Here is a 20797-nt window from a genome sequence, read left to right as displayed (position 1 = left end):
GAGGGAAGAGAGAGAGCTGCTGGTTCCAGTATACCACGTATCCACATTTCAGAAACAATACAACTTATGGAACACTGAGTCATGGGATTTGGTAGTAGTACCTCCCTCATAAGGTTGCTGCGAGAATTAAATGAGATACGTGCAAACTGCTTGCACAGGGCCTGATCCATAGAAAGTACTAAACAACATTGGTTACTACTATTATTTTATTCTCCTGGGCTTATAATATAATCTTTTGTTTGGAAAATGGCTCTGCTGCTACTTTAAAAAGTTTGAATACCACTACTTTAGAACAACATTTGGCCACAATAGTAGGTCTCAATTATACTTTTGCAAGTTCAAGACCGCTTTAAAGACACTTCAGAGGAGTGTGTTGGAGGTTCCTTTCTTTCTTGGCATTGCCCAAGATTGTCTCCGCTAGGAAATGTCATCTTTGTCATTTAAAAATGAGTTATTATGGGAGTTCCCACAACTCCCATAATAACTCAATTGATAGGAGCTCTCTTCAGCTTTCAAAAAGCTCATGCACAGTAAGATTTTCAAGCTCAGACCATTTCTATATTTTGAAGACATTTAAAAAGGATTTGATTCAATCTGGCACCTAAAACCCTACCTAAGTCTGTTTTAGAGGGGAGTTGGTGGGCAAACATATGACACAGTTTTAATTATGAATCAATCTGTCAGCTATAAGATTAAAAATAAATAATATGCAAATAGCTGCCTTCAGAAGAGAACCAGGCATTAAAATAGGATTTCAGTCCTGTGTCTGTTTAGCCTGATGCTCATTATCTGACTGGTTTCTTCACCCCTAACATGCCATTGGACTTTTACCTGGTAATTTTCCTCTCCTGGTCTTCCAGTTAGGTGTGAGAGGTTCACATCTTCTTCTCAGAACCATGATAGCACTGAAAAACAACAGATAAGCCCAAACAGAGCTGTTTTTTTTTCTTTTTGACACTGAGAGTAGATCTTTTTTTTTTTTTTTTCTGGAGATTGAGTTTCTCTCTTATTGCCCAGGCTGGGGTGCAATGGCGTGATCTTGGCTCACCACAACCTCCGCCTCCCAGGTTCAAGTGATTCTCCTGCCTCAGCCTCCTGGGTAGCTGGGATTATAGGCATGTGCCACCATGCCCAGCTAATTTTGTATTTTTAGTAGAGACGGGATTTCTCCATGTTGGTCAGGCTGGTCTTGAACTCTCAACATCAGGTGATCCACCCGCCTCAGCCTCCCAAAGTGCTGGGATTACAGGTGTGAGCCACCACGTCCAGCTTAGATCTTTTTTTTTAATATCTTCTGTCTTAGAACTGTACCAAGACCTCTCATCTGTAAAAACAGCATATAAGAAAGCTCTGCTGGCGCCTGCGTTGTGAAGATATTTTGCTCATCTTTTTTTGCTGCTAAGATGGAATCAGCCTTTCAGTTTCTCTTTTTTACTCTCTATCTTTGGGGTTAAAAGGTTAACAGACTCATAGTAAACAAATCATTTGTCCTTGGTGGGTAGAGAATATACCCAGGACCAGAAAGTAGACCTAACAATTTTCCTTGCACATTCCCTGGATCAAAATCAAGAGGGGTTGTCCTGAATGGTCAATATATCTTACCTCCATCATTTCAGTTTTCAAAGATCTGAATAAAAAAGTGAATAAACACTTCTATCCCTATTTTAGACAGGCAGTATGGTTCAGGGGGCAAGAATGTAGATTCTTGAGTTTTAGTGTTGGGTTCAAATTCTGGCTTTGTTATTTACTAGCAGTGACCTTGGGCAAGTTACCTAGCATCTCTGTTTCCCCAATTTCCCCATCTATAAAATAGAAATAAAATAATACCTACTTCAAAGGACAGTAGTGAACATTGCCTGTTGTTATGCCTTTTTTAAAAAATCCACGAAGACCATTAATTTACTGCCTATGTCATAAGTCAGTTTAATATCTGTAAACTCAGTAACGTATGTGTGTGTGTGTGGGTGTGTCCAACGTTTAATATCATGACTCCAGCAACTTGAAACAAGGTCACAAGCTAAATGTGTTATGGCTTGGGTAGATAGAATATGTGTATAAAAAGTCCAAATCAATTAAAATGCCTTCAATCTCGGCATGGGTACTTTACAAAAACATGTAACACTTCTCTTGTCAAATGGGCAAAATAGAGATGATGACCAAATATAGAACCAGCAATCACAAACCGGAAATATAATTAGAGGCGTGAGAACCCTTGAAAACTGGATGACAACAGGGAAATAGAAAGACCCTTCTTATTCCAATGGGCCCATCTCAATTGAGTGATACAAAATTGCCCTTTTTCAAGTGTTTCTTCTTTAGCATTTTATAATATAACTTTGGGAGAAAACGAAGAGGTGGCAGAAATGGGCTACCATCACAAATGATAAATTGCATTTTTTTCGTGAATCAAAGAAAGCAGGTACCCAAAGTCTTAAGTACATCCTTGAATGGCAAGTAAATTATTTTGGCAATGATGTATTTTCATGTGAGTAGACTTTCTATAGTCTAGTCTATTTATTCCCCAAGAGGCTTTTTTTTTTTTTTTTTTTTTTTTTTTTTTTTTTTTGAGATGGAATCTTGCTCTGTCACCCAGGCTGGAGTGCAGTGGCGCAATTGTGGCTCACTGCAAGCTCCGCCTCCCGGGTTCATGCCATTCTCCTGCCTCAGCCTCCCGAGTAGCTGGGACTACAGGTGCCCGCCACCACGCCTGGTTAATTTTTTGTATTTTTAGTAGAGACGGGGTTTCACCGTGTTAGCCGGGATGGTCTTGATCTCCTGACCTCATGTTTACATGATGCATTAAGGTCAAATAACATGCAAGAAAATTAAAATAATTAAAAAGGTAAAAGCAGATGAGTAAATATAGTGTTCACTCCCATGTCACAGATGAAGAAACCAACCCAGCAAAGGTCAGATGGCTTATTGGGGGTTCCAGAATCCATTTTATATCTTCCAAGCCAGCTTGCCTGTCTTATTTTTCTTTGGGAAAGAGGTAGGGGGAGGAATTAGTAGTTAAATGGAGACATTATGAAAAACATCTTAAGGAATGGGTTTACTACGTACAGGAAGGAGACCAGTTGAACTACTGGGCATTGTTTATTCATTGTTTCTGGTTTTAGGAGATTTAACATGCCACAGAAAGGGAAAGGCAGGGACCCTGCAAGTCATAAGTGTCTGTTAGGAATGGCAAACGTACAGATTTTCCTTATTTGTCTTCCTTGATAAAGAATGTATCTGAGCTAAGAACCTGACCAGATAACTTTTATTCCCCCTCTTGTAGCTGACAGTGTACTTCAAAATCGTACATAGGAATTAATGTGGCTTTTGACATTAAAAAGCAAATTACTAGACCATTAGACCATACACTAAAAGGTTATCAGCTCAGTTAACAAAATGAAAAGTTGTATCTCCTCTGAGTACATTTGTGGACAAGTGTACTTAATTGATGTTCTTTAATTTCATGTGCCTGGGAAGATTTTTTTTTAAATTGATAATCAAAGAGGGTTAAAATAGGGAATTAGTCATGAAAGCAATGGCAACATTTCATAAACGAAATCGACTCTAGGTTTGAAAATTGGAAACAATTAATAACTGTAGGCTTAACGGCATTTCCTTTTAATTTCCTTCTTTTTGTTACGTAAAATTTAATTTACTGCCTGTGTGCCTCAGTCCAACTATTATTAGAAAATTGCCCTTAAACTTCCAAGGTATTATACATAAAAGCTCTCTGCAAGCCATAATACTAAATCTCAGCAAAGAGAATAGGAAAGCTAAATGTTCTGAAATTGAAGTCATTCTGCTACTGAGCAGGAGAGTAATTTAGCAAACCCCGATTAAATCTCTCTCAATAAAATAACAATTTCATATACATGGCTTCCCATTGTCTGATAGCCAACTGTATAGTAAAATCCATTAAAGTCATGCCATAGTACAGTGTATTGTATTTTCAGGGTTTTTCTGAGTTTCCCTGAAGTTTTTTTCCTTTGTTGTATGAAATTAAATTTATTGCTTGTGATATTATCGAAATAACTCCTGGCGTCTTTCCCTGTCAGTCTTCCTTGATAAGAACTTCATTTTGCTTTCTAAGACTATGGCCATCTCCAATAATAAGGTCCTAGTGATAGTGTCATGGGCATTTTTAGCTTAATTAGTGGATGGTGATACCAGTCTATTCTTAATTTGCATTTTCTTTCCACATTATATTATTTCCGTCAATTTGATCTCATTCGAAGTCATCCGTTTCATGCAGTGATTACTTTTGATTGCTTTTGCCATATTTTTTAGATGTGTCCTGAGTTAGAGAGAAACTGAGTCTTTTTCTTCCACTGCTCGTGTTTAGAGTTAAGTGGCTGGGCATAGGAGCTTGGACATGGCTCTCACGGTCAGGTGGGCAAACTCATGAGCGGCACGTTGATTGCCAGTGTCACGTGGGTTCAGAAATCCATAGCCCTAGAAGCAATTTCTTATTTGAAATGAATGTGCTTGGCGTGTAACTGGATTCCTTTCCTCTTTTAGGTAATCACAGACCTGGAGGAGCAGCTAAACCAGCTGACCGAGGACAACGCTGAACTCAACAACCAAAACTTCTACTTGTCCAAACAACTCGATGAGGCTTCTGGCGCCAACGACGAGATTGTACAACTGCGAAGTGAAGTGGACCATCTCCGCCGGGAGATCACGGAACGAGAGATGCAGCTTACCAGCCAGAAGCAAGTAAGGAGGGTTAACAAGGTCGTGAGATCCCTGGAGGACTTTTAGAAGGATTTTAGGAGTGCTTGGTGCGTTCTCCCAAGGGTTCCAACACTGAACCTCATACAGTAATTGGGCTCTTTTTAAAATCATGTCTTTTTTCCAAGCCTTTAGGGTTTTAAAAATGTATTTTAAAAGTGTGTAGTTCTTATTAATTTTGATTTTAAAAAATAGGGCCAGTGTGGCAGCTCTTCCCTGTCATCCCAGTACTTTGGGAGGCCGAGGCAGAAGGATCACTTGAGCCCAGGAGTTCAGGATCAGTCTGGGCAATATAGTGAGACCCCATCTCTTAAAAAAAATAAAAATAAAAAAGATAAAAATTAGCTGGGCTTGGTGGTGCATGCCAGTAGTTCCAGCTTTTCAGGATGCTGAGGCGGGAGGAACGCTTGAACCCAGGAGGTCGAGGCTGCAGTGAACTGTGATCATGCCACTGTACTCCAGCCTGGGTGACAGAGCTGGACCCTGTCTCGAAAAAATAAAGATAGATAAAAACAAAATCAAATGCTTTGGGGGATCAATGTAAATGGCTTGATTTTAAGCTTGGTCACTTCCCCTGGCTTTGCTTTGGATCCTGCCTCTAAGGTGGCTGCAGAACTGGCCCTTCATCCATTCTTGCCTGGTCCCCTTGGGCTGCAGAAGCAAAAGACAAACCGCATTTCAAACTGTAGTTAGAAACTTGTGCTTTTCTGAAACTGACCCGACCAAAGTAATCTCCAGGAAATCCTTGTTTAAAGACAAGGCACAAATCAGTGCTACTGATTTGCAGACGATGGAGGCTCTGAAGACCACGTGCACCATGCTGGAGGAACAGGTCATGGATTTGGAGGCCCTAAACGATGAGCTGCTAGAAAAAGAGCGGCAGTGGGAGGCCTGGAGGAGCGTCCTGGGTGATGAGAAATCCCAGTTTGAGTGTCGGGTTCGAGAGCTGCAGAGAATGCTGGACACCGAGAAACAGAGCAGGTGGGGCTTTGTGTTTGTGGAAAGCTCATGACAGGTGACCGCAGGAGGATCGGCCTGAGAGTTGTGGACAGGGTGATCAGCTATTCCCGCCGAGACTGAGAAGTTTCCTGGGTCACAAGCCTCCTGGTGCTAAAAACCAGGAGACTCTTGGGCAAACCAGGATAGGGTGGTCACCCTAGTTGTAAACGTAGATAGTGTGAGTTGGATTCTGTGGCTATGACTGGTATCTGTTTTCCCCATGCAGAGGCCTGGGCATCAGGGCAAATACCTCTGTTTTCTGTGCAGAAAACTCTCATGAGGTTTCTTGTCAGAGTGACCATAGCAAGGCCATAGCAAAACCATTACCATTTTAATCCTGGTCTTCCCTCCACCCCAGGGTTCCTCAACCTTGGCACTATTGACATGTCAGGCTGGGTCATTCTTTGTTATGGGGGCTGTCCTGTGCATTGTAGGACGGGACAGCATCCCTAGTCTCTACTCACTAGATGCCACCAACAACCCCCTTCCCACGTTGTGACAACAAATATGTCTCTAGACATTGCCCCCAATATCCCCTGTGTCTCCATTGTCCCCAGTTGAGAACCACTGCTGTACAAGAATAGTTTAGTGGGTTTTTTTTGTTTTTTTTTTTTTTGTGACAGAGTCTCTGTCACCCAGGCTGGAGTGCAGTGGCACCATCGCAGTTCACTGCAACCTCCACCTCCAGGGTGGGAGGAATTCTCCTTCTTCAGCCTCCCAAGTAGCTGGGAATACAGGTGTGCACCACTATGCCCGGCTAATTTTTTTTTTGTATTTTTGTAGAGACGGGGTTTCACCGTGTTGGCCAGGCTGGTCTCAAACTCCTGACCTCAAGTGATCCACCTGCCTTGGTCTCCCAGAGTGCTGGGATTACAAGCGTGAGCCACCACACCTGGCTGGTTTTTTTTTTTTTCTCCTTTCTTAGTAGGAAATGATAATAATCAGTTCAGGCAGTATCGTTCCTCTGCTTTCTCACTTTTGTTTCCACAGTTCCCCAGTATAGATTTCCCTTCCTGTGGGGCCACAGTGGCACAATTGCATACTCCATAGTTCTAAGGGTTGCTGGTCACATTAAAGATGTCATAGACTGGAAGAGTTGTTATGACAGTTTTACACAGCTCATGGCAGAAAAGTGTTTTCTTTCTGACAAAATTGGTACGTTGTGACATTTCACAGATGGAAAGAAATGGTCTAGAAGGACGGGTGCCGCTTTCCAGTTTGTACAAAGGCATGATATGGGCTAGTGTGTGCCCCGTGACTTCCTGTCTGCACAGCTGAATCGGATCCATTTTTCATCAACTTGCTCATGTCACCTTCCTCTGAAACTTACCTTCCTGTGATTCTCTGAACTCCTTAAGCAAGATTAGCTATCCATAGAAATATCGATCAATGAATTAGTCTGTATTACACTCACTTGGGTATCTATCTCTCACTTTTGCTTGGCCATAGTAGGCTTAACTAAATATGTCAGATGGATTACGCAAAGTTCAGTTGAGCTCCAAAAGTTTGGAGGTAAAAGATGAAAACCCTTACATTTCAAAAGAAATGGTAGAAATAGTTCCTTTTTGTAGATCCTCCCAGCTTCCCCACTCAGGGTATTTGTTGATGTGAGGGACTGCTGTTTAAGTCTCCTATTCCAGCTTCCTTCTGAATCCTTAGACTCCCCCATCCTCATTGTAAGTTCTGGTTGTTTTCCCACAGACCCCTTCCCTCCCACCCTCAAGTCCAGCTCCTATCCTAGCTGTTTTTAGGGACCTACAGAGATCATTTTTGGGGTAGGATCTGGCTTCAGCATCAAGAAATACACGACCATACATGGAAGGTATAATTATGAACTGTTCTCAGGAAGACTAGCATTAGTCTGCTTTCATTTCATGTCTGCTTTCAGGGCAATTGTGGAAGATCGTGCCTTTCTTTTCCTTTTTTTTCTTTTTTCTGTTTTGGTATTATATGGGATACTGAGATGAGTAAAATATAATTGTTAATCTTTGTCCTCAAGAGCCTAAGAGTCTACTGGAGGAGATATGGATTCAGATATTTAGGAGAGATGGGGAGGCCGAAGTGGGTGGATCACTTGAGGTCAGGAGTTTGAGACCAGCCTGGCCAACATGGCGAAATCCTGTCTTTACAAAAAATACAAAAATTAGCCGGGTTTGGTGGCACGTGCCTGTAGTCCAAGCTACTTGGGAGGCTGAGGCAGGAGAATCGCTTGAATCTTGGAGGTGGAGGTTGCAGTGAACTGAGATCACGCCACTGAACTCCAGCCTGGGCGACAGAGTGGGACTCCATCTCAAAAAAAAAAAAGTATATATATATATATATATATATATATTTAGGAGAGAAATACAGTTATGCTTTTGTTACAGAACAAGGTGAGGTTGCTCCTGAGAAGAGAAAGTGGGAATAGTTTTATGGAGATCATAGCATTTGAATTTATCCTTGAAGGCTGAGTAAGATTTGAGTTTGCAGAGTAGCAAAGGAGGGAATGGCCAGTGGAGGAGATTGTATAAGCCAAAGTGTGGAAGTAGGAAGCATGATACCTAAATGGGGAAAGGGAAGTGATTTTTTTTTCCTATTTTGCTTCTGGTTTTTCTATTCTTTAGCATTATTTATGGAGACACTCATCAGATTCAAGTTTCACTTTTGTTTTTTCTTTTTTTTTTTTTTTTTGAGAATGGAGTCTTGCTTTGTTGCCCAGGCTGGAGTGCAGTGGTGCCATCTCGGCTCACTGCAACTCTGCCTCCCGAGTTCAAGCAATTCTCCTGCCTCAGCCTCCTGAGTAGCTAGGATTACAGGCATGCGCCACTATGCCTGGCTAATTTTTTGTATCTTTTGTAGAGACGGGGTTTCACCATGTTGGCCAGGCTGGTCTCGAACTCTTGACCTCAGGTGATCTGCCCACCTCAGCCTCCCGAAGTGTTGGGATTACAGGCGTGAGCCACTGCACCCAGCCTCAAGTTTCAGTTTCTTGATGAGTACCCAAAAACATTTAACTTTGTTTTTGTTTTTGTTTTGTTTTGAGACCGAGTCTTGCTCTATCACCCAGGCTGGAGTGCGGTGGTGTGATCTCGGCTCACTGCAACTTCCACCTCCTGGGTTCAAGTGATTCTCCTGCCTCAGCCTCCCGAGTAGCTGGGTTTAGGGGCGCACGCCACCACACCCAGCTAATTTTGTATTTTTAGTAAAGATGGGATTTCACCACGTTGGCCAGGCTGGTCTTGAACTCCTGACCTCAGGTAATCCACCCACCTTGGCCTCCCAAACTGCTGGGATTACAGGCATGAGCCACCGTGCCTGGCCTGTTTTGTTTTTCCTTACCCAAGCCTAACATGGGTCAAATCTTTGCTTTGTAAGCTGTTGGAAAGGAAGACAGTTTGGAACTAAGAGTCAAGGTTGGGCATCTTTCTGGCCTGCAGCCTGTTTAGTTGCTCGTCAGGATTAGAGACGGACCAGCCTTCTTTCCGCAGGTCAGCTGTTGGGGGGCTACCAAAAGCTGACCTGTGTCTTTCTGGCAGGGCGAGAGCCGATCAGCGGATCACCGAGTCTCGCCAGGTGGTGGAGCTGGCAGTGAAGGAGCACAAGGCTGAGATTCTCGCTCTGCAGCAGGCTCTCAAAGAGCAGAAGCTGAAGGCCGAGAGCCTCTCTGACAAGGTCAGCGCCCACCCCTTCTGCTTTTTAGGAAAACATTTTCGTTTCCTTCTTTTAAAGGCACGCTTGATAAAAATTCAAATGCAATCCATGGCAAACATATTTCATAAACATATGTTCATGCACTCCAAAAATGTCCCATGGTTTTGCCTTACCATGGGACATTTTTGGTTGGCAGTAGCGTGGGTGGGTGCGGTGGGTACCCAGTGATCACAGTCGGCCAGTGACTTTTTAAAATCTGTGTGTCTAGGCCCTTGAAGTTCGAATTTTGATCTGGGTGTTCTACTCTCTGGTTGTCTGGCATCTTATTTCCAGAAGGCTTTATGGATTGAATGCTGTGCATCTTTGGGAAGTTCTTGGTGGCAGTGACTAATGCTCATCCAATTGCTGCAGTAATAGGCAGCTCAGCTTCTCCGTGTTCCAAGTTCAGGGTCGTGATAGGGTCTGATGACGCATGCTGGTTCTCAGTATTTCACATCGGAAATACACGTGTTCCATCCATGTGCCTCTCCATATTACATTTATAGTCATAAACAATGTTTTGGAGATTTTAGCTAATAATCTTGAGAGAGATACAGAATAGGCGCTTCAGCGTTACAGATCACCAAAGTGAAGATCAGAGGACTTTTATGTATGAACACACAGATGCATACATAGACACTCTTTTTCATGCACATACACACACAAAATAAAATAACGATCTGATTTTATATTTTCTATAACTTTGTTATTTCATGATAGAAAAATAATTATTTGGGTCATTGTGGAAAATATAGAAACCACAGAAAAGTAAAAGAAATAATGGCTGGTCACCCATCGCTGTTGTTTTATTGGTGTATTTATTTGCAGTCTCTGTGCTTATGTTTATGCATACACACATATACATAGACATACGTATGTATTTTTATAAATTAGATTTTCATTATATATACAGCTTTACCTGTTTTTATTAAAAATCATTTAACTTCAGGTTTTTTCTGAGTTGAATATTTTTTGAATATGTGATTCTAAAAAAAATAAATTGCATGGAAGTACCTACTTGAATCATTATACTTGTATTGGAAATTTGAACTTCCAGTATTTTACCATATAAATAACAATATGATAAACATGAATCTTTATGGACATCCATGATTATTTTCTTACCGGATACTTATATTAATAGAAGCAGAATTATTAGGTTTAAGGCCAGAGCTCTCTAGTCAGGAATGCTCCTGAGTTCCCTGAAACTGGGTTACCATTTTTTTTAAGCATGAGGAAACTAGATTTATTAGAGCTATGTGAGGCCTTTTATGTTTAATGTGAAAAATATTTTTTTCTAGTTGACTGTTCTTAAAATGTTAAGCAGCAAAGTCCTTCATATCTTTTAAAGCTCCAGACTTTGCAATACCTTATTGTCTTGATCTTCTCCTAATTGGGTTGAATTTCTTTCCCAAGCCTTTCTTATCAAACTTATAAGCTGACAGAGCAGTCATTATTTGCATACATGTCTAGTTATGGGCCTTTCTGACTTGACGTAAGATCCTTGAGAGCTTGGTTATCCTTTCATCCTAAAAGCTATAATGCAGGTAGTAAGCATTCAGCGTATGATTATTTAATTAAATTCAGCCAAAGCATGTCAGATAAATAAGTCCTTGAGCAGTTATCCTCCTAGAACTTGTCACAGCCATATTTAAGAGCCATCCCTTAGAAATAATTTCCATCCTCATATAATAACCTATGGAAGACTCACCAGTGACAGGGACTTCTGTATTTAGAAAAAAGCAACCTTTACGTTCTGACCTTTAGAACTCAATATTCTTTCTCCGTGAAGGTTCGTGGACATTCATAAACGTTGTCAGCATCTAACATTCCTAAGTGTGGCATTATGCCAATCTTTCCAAATGTCTAGCTCAATGACCTGGAGAAGAAGCATGCTATGCTTGAAATGAATGCCCGAAGCTTACAGCAGAAGCTGGAGACTGAACGAGAGCTCAAACAGAGGCTTCTGGAAGAGGTGAGTGTGAAATACCTGGGAGAAGGGCCAAGTGGATTTTTTTTTTCTTTTAATAGGCTTCTTTTTTTTGGAGCAGCTTTAGGTTCACAGCAAAATTGAGCAGAAAGCACAGAGAGTTCCCACATACTCCCTGTCTCCTCCTCCCACAGTGTCCCCAGCTATCAACACCCTGTACCAGAGTGTCCATTTGTTACAATCAATGGGCCTGCACTGACACATCGTCATCACCCCAAATGCATAGTTTAAATTAGGTTTGCTATTGGTGTTGTATGTTCTATGGGTTTTGACAAATGTGTAATGACAGTTATCCACCTTTACTGTATCATACAGGATAGTTTCACTGCCCTAAAAACCCTCTGTACTCTGCCTGTTCATCCCTCCCCACCCTCAACTCCTGGCAGCCACTGATCTTTTTGCTGTCTCCATAGTTTTCCCTTTTCCAGAATGTTGCATATCTGGAATCACACAGGATGTAGCCTTTCAGATCAGCTGCTTTCACTTAGTCATATGCATCCAGGTTTCCTCCATGTCTTTTCATAGCTGGTAGCTCATTTCTCTCTGGAGTCTTTTTTTTTTTTTGGTCTTGCTCTGTTGCCCAGGCTAGAATGCAGTGGAGCAATCACTACTCACTGCAGCCTTGACTTCCTGGGTTCAGGTCATCCTCCCACCTCAGCCTCCTAAGTAGCTGGGACTACAGGTATATGCCTCCATGCTCGACTAATTTTTGTATTGTTTTGTAGAGATGGGGTTTCCCCATGTTGCTCAGGCTGGCTGGTTTCAAACCCTTGGGCTCAAGTGATCTACCTGTCTTGGCCTCCCAAAGTGTTGGGGTTACAGGCATGAGTCCCCGTGCCCTGCCTGGACTTGTAAACAAATTTCTTTAAAAGATTTTTTTATTTCAATAGCTTTAGGGGTACAAGTGTTTTTTTGGTGACATGGGTGAATTGTGTGGTGGTGAAGTCTGGGCTTTTCGTGTACCTGTCACGCAAATAGTGTATATCGTACCCGATAGGTAATTTTTCATCCCTCACTCCCCTCCTCGCCTTCCCCCTTCTGAATCCACAGTGTCTATTATACCACTTGTATGCCTTCATACTCATAGCTTAGCTCCCACTTGTAAGTGAGAATGTGCAGTAGTTAGCTTTCCGTTCTAGGTGGAATTTTGAAATTGACAATTTGTCAGATCCAAATTAGATATTTTGAAATTAGAATTTTCAAGTAAGAGTATGGGGGTCATGTAATACTTGTCTTAAGGTATTTAACACATTAAAAGACTATGTCATGAAGGCCAGAGGGTCTCTGTCATTTTTATCCTTCTATGTGATGCTTAATGGAGTGTCAAGCACATAGTAAGTGTGTGCCAAATAGAAGTTTATTAAATACATGGGTGAATGAATATTGAGTTAAATTGTTCTTTAGAGCTAATATCCAAAGTATATTAAGTTTCATGCCGATAGGACATCCATGCAAATTAGCTTCCTGCACAGGGCAGAATTTTATCAGATTATTCTGAGTACCAAATTTCATGAAGGTTTTTGAACATTGGGTAATTTAGTTAAAAATAATGTGTGCCCTGCTTTTGAAGCATAATAGACAAGCTCAGACTGATCTTCTAAACCCATCCCTTACGTGATGGCTGGTACCTTTTCACAGAACTCTGAGAACGGCTATTTAAATTGATGACTACCTCCCACTCCCCAACCAGAGCCCTGTGTGTTGAATCACTGATGATTCCGCTTTGTTCTTTAGGATTGACCTGCAAGGACAAATGCACTTTATAATGAAAAATTGGACTCCAAAGAGTATTCTGTTTAACCCTTAGTGAGCCTGACAGTTTAATTAACCAGAATGCCCTGTTCTGGCTGATGAGGTTTTGTCACGTGATACCCATAGCTCCTGAGGCACTTTGCTGATAGAAATAATATTGTTATGCTGTTAAGTTTGAAAAGTATAGTGACATTTTTGCGGGTGAGTATAAAATATTTTATTGAATGATACTTTAAAAAATATGGGTGGCTGAGGCGTGAGGATTGCTTGAGGCCAAGAGTTTGAGACCAGTATAGGCAACATAGTGAGACCCCATCTCTACAAAAAAAAAAAAAAAAAAAAAAAAAAATTAGCCAAGTGTGGTGGTGTGCAGTTCTAGTCCCAGCTACTCAGGAGGCTGAGGTGGGAGGATCACTTGAGCGCAGGTGTTTGAGGCTGCATTGAGCTCTGATGGTACCACTGCACTGTAGCCTGGGTGACAGAGTGAGAGCCTGTCTCAAAATAAAAATTAAAAATTAAAATGAAAAATATGGGTGGGAGTTTGAGAAAGTTCTAGAAATGGATGGTGGTGGTGGTTACACAATAACATGAGTGTACTTAATGCCACTGAACTATACACTTAAAAAATGGTTAAAATGGTAAATTTTATGTCGTGTATTTTGCCTCTGTAAACAATTTAAAAAATAAAATTAATACTAAACACACACACACACACACACACACGTATATTTGGTGAACACACATAGGAATTCACCCCGTGGCCTTAAGAACAACACTACAGTGGAAATGTTAAATGTACCTCGTGGTCAAATAGAGAATTAGGGTCTTTTATCTGCAGTGAATAGACAGTGTTCCCACTTAGGCACATCCTGCAAACAGAAAGAACAGAAATAATCAATGCTCTTGCCTGTCCTATTTTCCTTCTGAGAGGGCGAGTTGGCCCTGACAGCCCAGTACTTTGGTCCAAGGTTATGTGGTGAGTCAGTGACGACTCTAGGAATAGAGTGCCGGGATCCCAATTCAGTTCCCTCCTTCTCACTTCTAACCTACATGAGAACATTTCCAGTTTCCCAGGATGTTCCTCACAGAAAGATTTTTGAGCACAGACTTCTGGCTGACATTGAGCCGGAGGCAGATTTCAGTGACAGTTGAAACCATTCTGGAACAAAGAATGCTCTTTATTGTCCACATTGTGATTGGGCCTCCTGGTTGGTGTGTGCTGTATAAGCATATGTGCCCAAGGCTTCCACCTAAGTATCCTCTTCGTAGGTGCGGAGACTTTTATTTTTTATTTTTATTTTTATTTTTTGAGACAGAGTCTTGCTCTCTCGCCCAGGCTGGAGTGCAGTGGCGTGATCTTGGCTCACTGCAACCTCCACCTCCGAGGGTCAAGCAATTCTCCTGCCTCAGCCTCCCGAGTAGCTGAGATTACAGGTATACACCAGCACTCCCGGCTAAATTTTTTTGTATTTTTAGTAGAGACAAGGTTTCACGATGTTGGCCCAGCTTGTCTCCAACTCCTGGCCTCAAATGATCCGCCCACCTCAGCCTCCCAATGTGCTAGGATTATAGCATGAGCTACCATGCCTGGCCTATAAGGAGACTTTTAAATGGAGCCAGAATCAAAGTCTCAGAATTGAAAGAATTTTTATATCATCCAGTCTGAATTTCCAGCACTATTCCCTTTATCCTTGCTCCTGACAAACTTTACTAATGGATCTTTCACATTTTTCCTCCTGGGCCCAAAATGGCTTCAGAAGCTTTCTCAACATGACACTTTTTTTTTTTTTTTTTTTTTTTTTTTGAGATGGAGTCTCGCTCTGTCGCCCAGACTGGAGTGCAGTGATCTCGGCTCACTGCAAGCTCTGCCTCCCGGGTTCACGCCATTCTGCCTCAGCCTCCCGAGTAGCTGGGACTACAGGTGCCTGCTATCACGCCCGGCTAATTTTTTGTATTTTTAGTAGAGACAGGGTTTCACCACGTTGGCCAGGATGGTCTCGATCTCTTGACCTCGTGATCCACCCACCTTGGCCTCCCAAAGTGCTGGGATTCCAGGCGTGAGCCACTGCACCTGGCCAACATGACACTTTATAGCCACTATCTGTTCATTGGAAGTAATATCAGTGATCAAAGTCCATTTGCTAGTCCTGGTCAAATTCATCTCTCATCCAAGGTAGAAGATCCCTTCCCCAACGCTCCTCATAGGTAGGCCCCGTTGAACCTTGGCCTAAATACTTACAATGACTTTGGACATCCCAACCCATTTTTCAGCAACTCTCATTCTTAGAACATTCTTATTTTGAACTAAAAACCTTCCACTTTTACCTATTGGTTCTATTACATTAAAACACATGAAATTAGAAAGTAGTCTGATATCTCCAACCAAAATGGGAGATTAATACTGATTAATAGATTACTTGATTAATAATTAAAATAACTAATGTTTAATTAGCACTTACCATGTGACTGACTCTCTGAGTACATGAATTAACTCTTACAGTCCTTGCAATGTTCCTGGGAGATAACTAGTTTTATTATCTCTGTGACAGTCAACTAGATATCCAAATAGCTCTCCCACTCCAAATTGCCTTCTCTTTTATTTTTTCAAGTATTTTTGTAGAGACGGCGTCTCCCTATGTTGCCCTCAAACTCCTGGGCTCAAGCGATCCTCCTGCCTTGGCCTCCCAAAGTGCTAGGATTATAAGAGTGAGCCACTGCACCCGGCCACCTTCTCTTTTTTAAGTGAAACATTTTAGATCCCCTCAAGCTTTGGATGTTCTTTTCTGGTAGATTTGTCTTTCCACAGAGAGTTTCTACAAGTCCATGTGGTCTGAATAGCACTGAATACATTGGGATCTTTCCGTCTCCATACTGGGCTCTAAACCTCTGCCAATTACCTGTGCTCTTTGGGTAGTTTTGATCACATCATTGACACCACTGGTCTGTTAAATCACTACCTGCCCTTCCACAAGTTTGCTTTTTCTTAAAAACATCTTTATGTTCTAGATTTATTCCATTGACAATTTAAAAAATACCGCCCTACTGAAGTTTTTCTTGTTGGTCTTGATCCATTCTTCCAGCCCACGGGGGTTGTTTCATGCTCTTGTTCTATCATCCAGGCCCTTTCTTTTTCCTCCCAGTTTCCTGTCTTTTTCCTTACAGTTTCCTCGTGAAATTGTTGGACAGGTCTAAACACACAGCTAAGATCCCCCTTTCAGCCTAACACTGGCCCATGAATATACCTCTGTTTGCTTCTTTCTGGGAAGCAGGTAAATGCTTCTGAAAAACATTTCATAGAGTACAAATGCCCCGCTTACTTTTTTTTTTTTTTTTTTTTAATGTATAGGGAATAACCAGCCTATTTCTTGGAAAGCTAATGGACAGTTGATGCGTTTATTCTAGAAAAATATTTTGGGCTCGGCTGTCACCAAACAGATTCTCGTCCCCAGCACTTGTTTCTCTGGTTTCTGCCTAGTAATTAATGTTGTCCTAAAATAGTGGGAAGAAACTAAAGAGGGTAATTTGCAGAAGAAATCACTCATGCTGCGGAGGAGGGTATCTTAGCTGTTTCTTTCCTTTTTTCCTGTATTTTAGGGGGCTCTGTGGTTTGATTGAGAAATTCCAGATTACGCACACGGGCCAAATGATTTTTTTTTTAAATTTTCGTTTTTATTTTTTTAGAGACAGGGTCTTGCTCTGTCGCCCAGGCTGGAATGCAGTGGCATAATCATAGCTCATTGCCACTTCGAACTCATGGGCTCAAGCGATCCTCCCACCTCAGCCTCCCAGAGTCCTGGGATTTCAGGTGTGAGCCACTGTGCCTGGCCCCAGGTGATCTTTAGTTGGTAGCTCTTCCTTTGTGGCAGTACTGTTAGGGAAAGGCAGACGGGAGGATGAGAGGGAGCACCTTAACTGAATGGAGGGAAGAAAGAAGGACAAAGGAGATGGAGAGGATAAACATTCAATAAGCACCTACTGTATACTGGGCACTTTGTTCAATATGTCATCCAATGAGGCAAGCTAGTATACCCACTTTCAGATGAAGAAACTGAGGCTCTGAGAGGTGATAAATACAGATTTTAACAGGTATCAGTGATATGATAAGTGTAAAAGTCAGGATTTAAACCAGGGTCTGTAAGAATCCAGCATCCAGGTCTTTCTACTGCAACACGATGCCTTAGGGAATCAGCTACATGTTAAGAGGAAGGGCAGGTGAGGAATATAAATGGAAAGAAAAACAGAGGTAGAGAGAAGCAAAGAGACAGAGAGGGCCAGGAAATGCTGAGATTATCAGTGGCTCTGGGCCTGCTGGGATGGAGGAGTTTGGGGGCTGCCATAGGCCTTTTGGAATCTCCAGTGATGATGTTTATTGCTTTGAGTAGCTCTCTGTCCCTAAGTCTGCAGAGGACCCAGGCTACCAGGGAAGAGATTATTTGGGCCACACTAAGTGTAGTTAAGCTATAATCCAGGGTTTGGATAAAATCAAGCACTGTCTCATCAGGATGCCTGCTCTCTCCTGCTTTTTTAGAAACGGATGCATTTTAGGAAAAAGAACCACAAAACCAGCGTCTTTATAGCCTGTCCTATTTTCTGGTTAACTTCCATTATAAAAATTGGAGCGAGATTTGCAGCACAAAACTATTTTCAATATACTTAATTGAATTTCTTTTCTGGGTTTTACCAACACTCTGTACTATAACTGGGATCTTCTTCTTTTCCCCCAACGTTGTAGAAATATGTCTCATGATTGTGGTTATTCATGTACTTGTTGGGGTCTCTTACCCTAATGGGACCTTTATTAAGTAAGGGATGATATGATTTCTCTTTGTGTATCCCACACTGCCTGCATGGAGTAATTTCTCATAGCAACAATTAAGATCTTGAAAACAGAAAATAAAGACATTGGAACTTAGTTGTCATGGCACTGAGTCGAACTGCCTTAGATGTCAACTCAGATGGCTCATGCCATCCAAAATATCCTCACCTTAATGTACCAAAATATCCTCAATTGGAACTCTGTCTGGGAAGGCCATCCCTGCAGCCTGGACTTCCTGTGACGGTAGGGATCCTCGGACTTGTTGGCCAGCAGAGGTTTCTGTGCAAATTCATTTTAACTGTGCTTGCATCCTTTTGGAATAGATGACAATTGGTAATTCTGAATTGAGATGATTTCAAAAGCTGTACTTCTGGTGCCATGCCTGAAATTAGTTTGAAATAGGAACAGCAGGGGAACAAATTGTATTGTGTGCAGTATCAAGCATTTCCCTGGCCCTTCTCCCCACTAGCAAGCCAAATTACAGCAGCAGATGGACCTGCAGAAAAATCACATTTTCCGTCTGACTCAAGGACTGCAAGAAGCTCTAGATCGGGCTGATCTACTGAAGACAGAAAGAAGTGACTTGGAGTATCAGCTGGAAAACATTCAGGTGAGGACTGGCAGAGGGAATCTGCTTAAAAATGGTCTGCACGGCTGGGCGCAGTGGCTCATGCCTGTAATCCCAGCACTTCGGGAGGCTGAGGAGGGCAGATTACTTGAGGTCAGGAGTTCGAGACCAGCCTGGCCAACATGGTGAAACCCCATCTCTACTAAAAATACAAAAATTAGCCTGGCGTGGTGGCGGGTGCCTGTAGTCCCAGCTACTCGGGAGACTGAGGAAGGAGAATGGCTTGAACCCGGGAGGTGGAGGTTGCAGTGGGCTGAGATCACACCACTGCACTCCAGCCCGGGCAACAGAGCAAGACTTTGTCTCAAGAAAATAAATAAATAAATAAGTCTGCAGAGGCAAAGCATGATTGTACAGTCATCTGGTAAAATGGTCAGTATCTTTGTGCTGCATATTGTGTGTATTTTCCCCAAGATTTTATTTTCAAAGATTGCAAACATTCAGAGAAGTTGGAAGATTTCTATAGTGACCATGACCTACAAGGAACCTGTTGCTATTTTTACTTTTTCACATATTTATCTATAAATATATCTTTTTTCTCTTTTGCAGTAAAACTGGACTAAATACATACTGACTCAGTACTGTTTGTGTTGGATTTTCATATATTAGTGTCCTAACAACTTCACTTTTTAGTTTCTTAAAGTACCAACTTTAAAAGTATACTTCTGTCTGGATTTGAGGTTAGTTTGTTTTCTTGAATTTTAGGTTCTCTATTCTCATGAAAAGGTGAAAATGGAAGGCACTATTTCTCAACAAACCAAACTCATTGATTTTCTGCAAGCCAAAATGGACCAACCTGCTAAAAAGAAAAAGGTGAGTCAAAGTGTTTGAAAAGTGGGAATTGTCAGTTTCACTCATCATTCATGGCTCAGTGGACACCACTGTGATATATGATCATAGGAACATAGAAGAAAACAAAGTATACTTTTTTTGTTGTTTTATTTTGGGTTGAAAAATAGATTTTGAGATAATTATAATAGGTCTTACTGAAAGATATCAGTGATCAAGTCTAACAAACTACTTTTTGTTTATGACCATTCAAATCATAGTATCTTTGTTAAAGAAGTAATCCCTCCCCAGCCCACACACATAGCAGTTGGGGCAGAGGGATGTATGCAGAGAGAAAGATTTATACCAAGTCATGCATACATGACTCTAGAGGGAGTTAGCAAGTCACAAGTATGGGGCTTCAGCAGTTCAGGTCTCTCGTACCACACTCCAGAAAGGACTTTAACAGTGATCTAGTCCAGTCCTTTTGATCGGCTCACAAAGAGACTAGAACTCAGGGAGCTGGGGTGACCTGCCTGAAGTGTCTGACTGGACACTTCTCCCCTCTGCCAAGTACTGAACAACCCTTTTAGATTGCAGGAGACAAATTACAAACTAGGGGCAGGGTTATACATAGTGCACATGAGAAGATTGTTTTTCATAAGCCTGATCTATACATGCTTTCCCAAACCACTAAAGCCTTCATACTAGGTTTGGCCAGGTGTTCTCAGTTCCAGAAAAGTCTTGAAGAAGCTTGCAGTTTCCTTCCAAATGCAGAAGCATACCATAGCAGCAGTGGCAGTGGTTTTGCAGGAGAGGCCTTGATGACTTGGAATACCTAGGAGGAAGGAGTGGAGGGCTGAAGTTGACAGTTGTCTCAATATTTCCGGTGCCATCTTCGCTGTAAGGGCATGAGCACAACATTCAGAGGCCGCCTCCCACTAGACGTTGGCTGCACGGGAAGGATTTTCTTGCATGCTGCGTGACTGTATATGGTTGTTATGCTTATGATATTTAATCTTTTTTATTTTAGCAGTGAACTGTTACCTGGTTATGTCACTTGATTTAGTTAGGGTGTTTCCATTTGTTATTTTTTTTAGTTACCTTTTTTTTAAGTTGCATTATTCTGTTTTCCTTTTTTTTCCATGTATAGTAAATATTTTCATTTGCATTTTTTTTTGAGTAAGCCCCTTGTTTTGACCTCATTTTAGCATTCCTTTTAAAATTTTGCTTCCTTTTACAAAACACTCATCTCTGTGTCTTGTAACTGAGCATCATGAGACATATTCCAAGGCAAGAGTGACCTCTGAACCATCTCTCCTGACTCCATACTCCATACTCTCCTGATTCCATTTTTTGAATGGGAAAGACTCAGGACATGACTCTCCTGTCTTGGCAATGCTAGAGGAAGAGGTGGTGGCCATTCAAGCATCTTTAATCCTCTTGG

The 20797-nt window shown here is 41.6% G+C and overlaps 1 protein-coding gene across 15 annotated transcripts in view; it reads left to right on the top strand.

Moving 5' to 3' along the window:
- CIT (citron rho-interacting serine/threonine kinase) overlaps positions 1 to 20797 on the top strand; it is a 191530-nt gene that overhangs the window by 137448 nt on the left and 33285 nt on the right. For all 15 annotated transcript variants that reach the window (XM_011537788.2, XM_011537787.2, XM_047428134.1 and 12 more), the window contains 6 exons: positions 4516 to 4713; positions 5516 to 5709; positions 9243 to 9378; positions 11267 to 11371; positions 18424 to 18564; positions 19288 to 19395. In XM_011537788.2, coding sequence (XP_011536090.1) covers positions 4516 to 4713; positions 5516 to 5709; positions 9243 to 9378; positions 11267 to 11371; positions 18424 to 18564; positions 19288 to 19395 — 882 coding nt within the window. The remainder of the gene's footprint in view (positions 1 to 4515; positions 4714 to 5515; positions 5710 to 9242; positions 9379 to 11266; positions 11372 to 18423; positions 18565 to 19287; positions 19396 to 20797) is intronic.

The sequence above is a fragment of the Homo sapiens genome, chromosome 12, assembly GCF_000001405.40.
Source record: "Homo sapiens chromosome 12, GRCh38.p14 Primary Assembly".
Lineage (NCBI taxonomy): Eukaryota > Metazoa > Chordata > Mammalia > Primates > Hominidae > Homo > Homo sapiens.
This window is presented reverse-complemented; position numbering and strand designations above follow the sequence as displayed.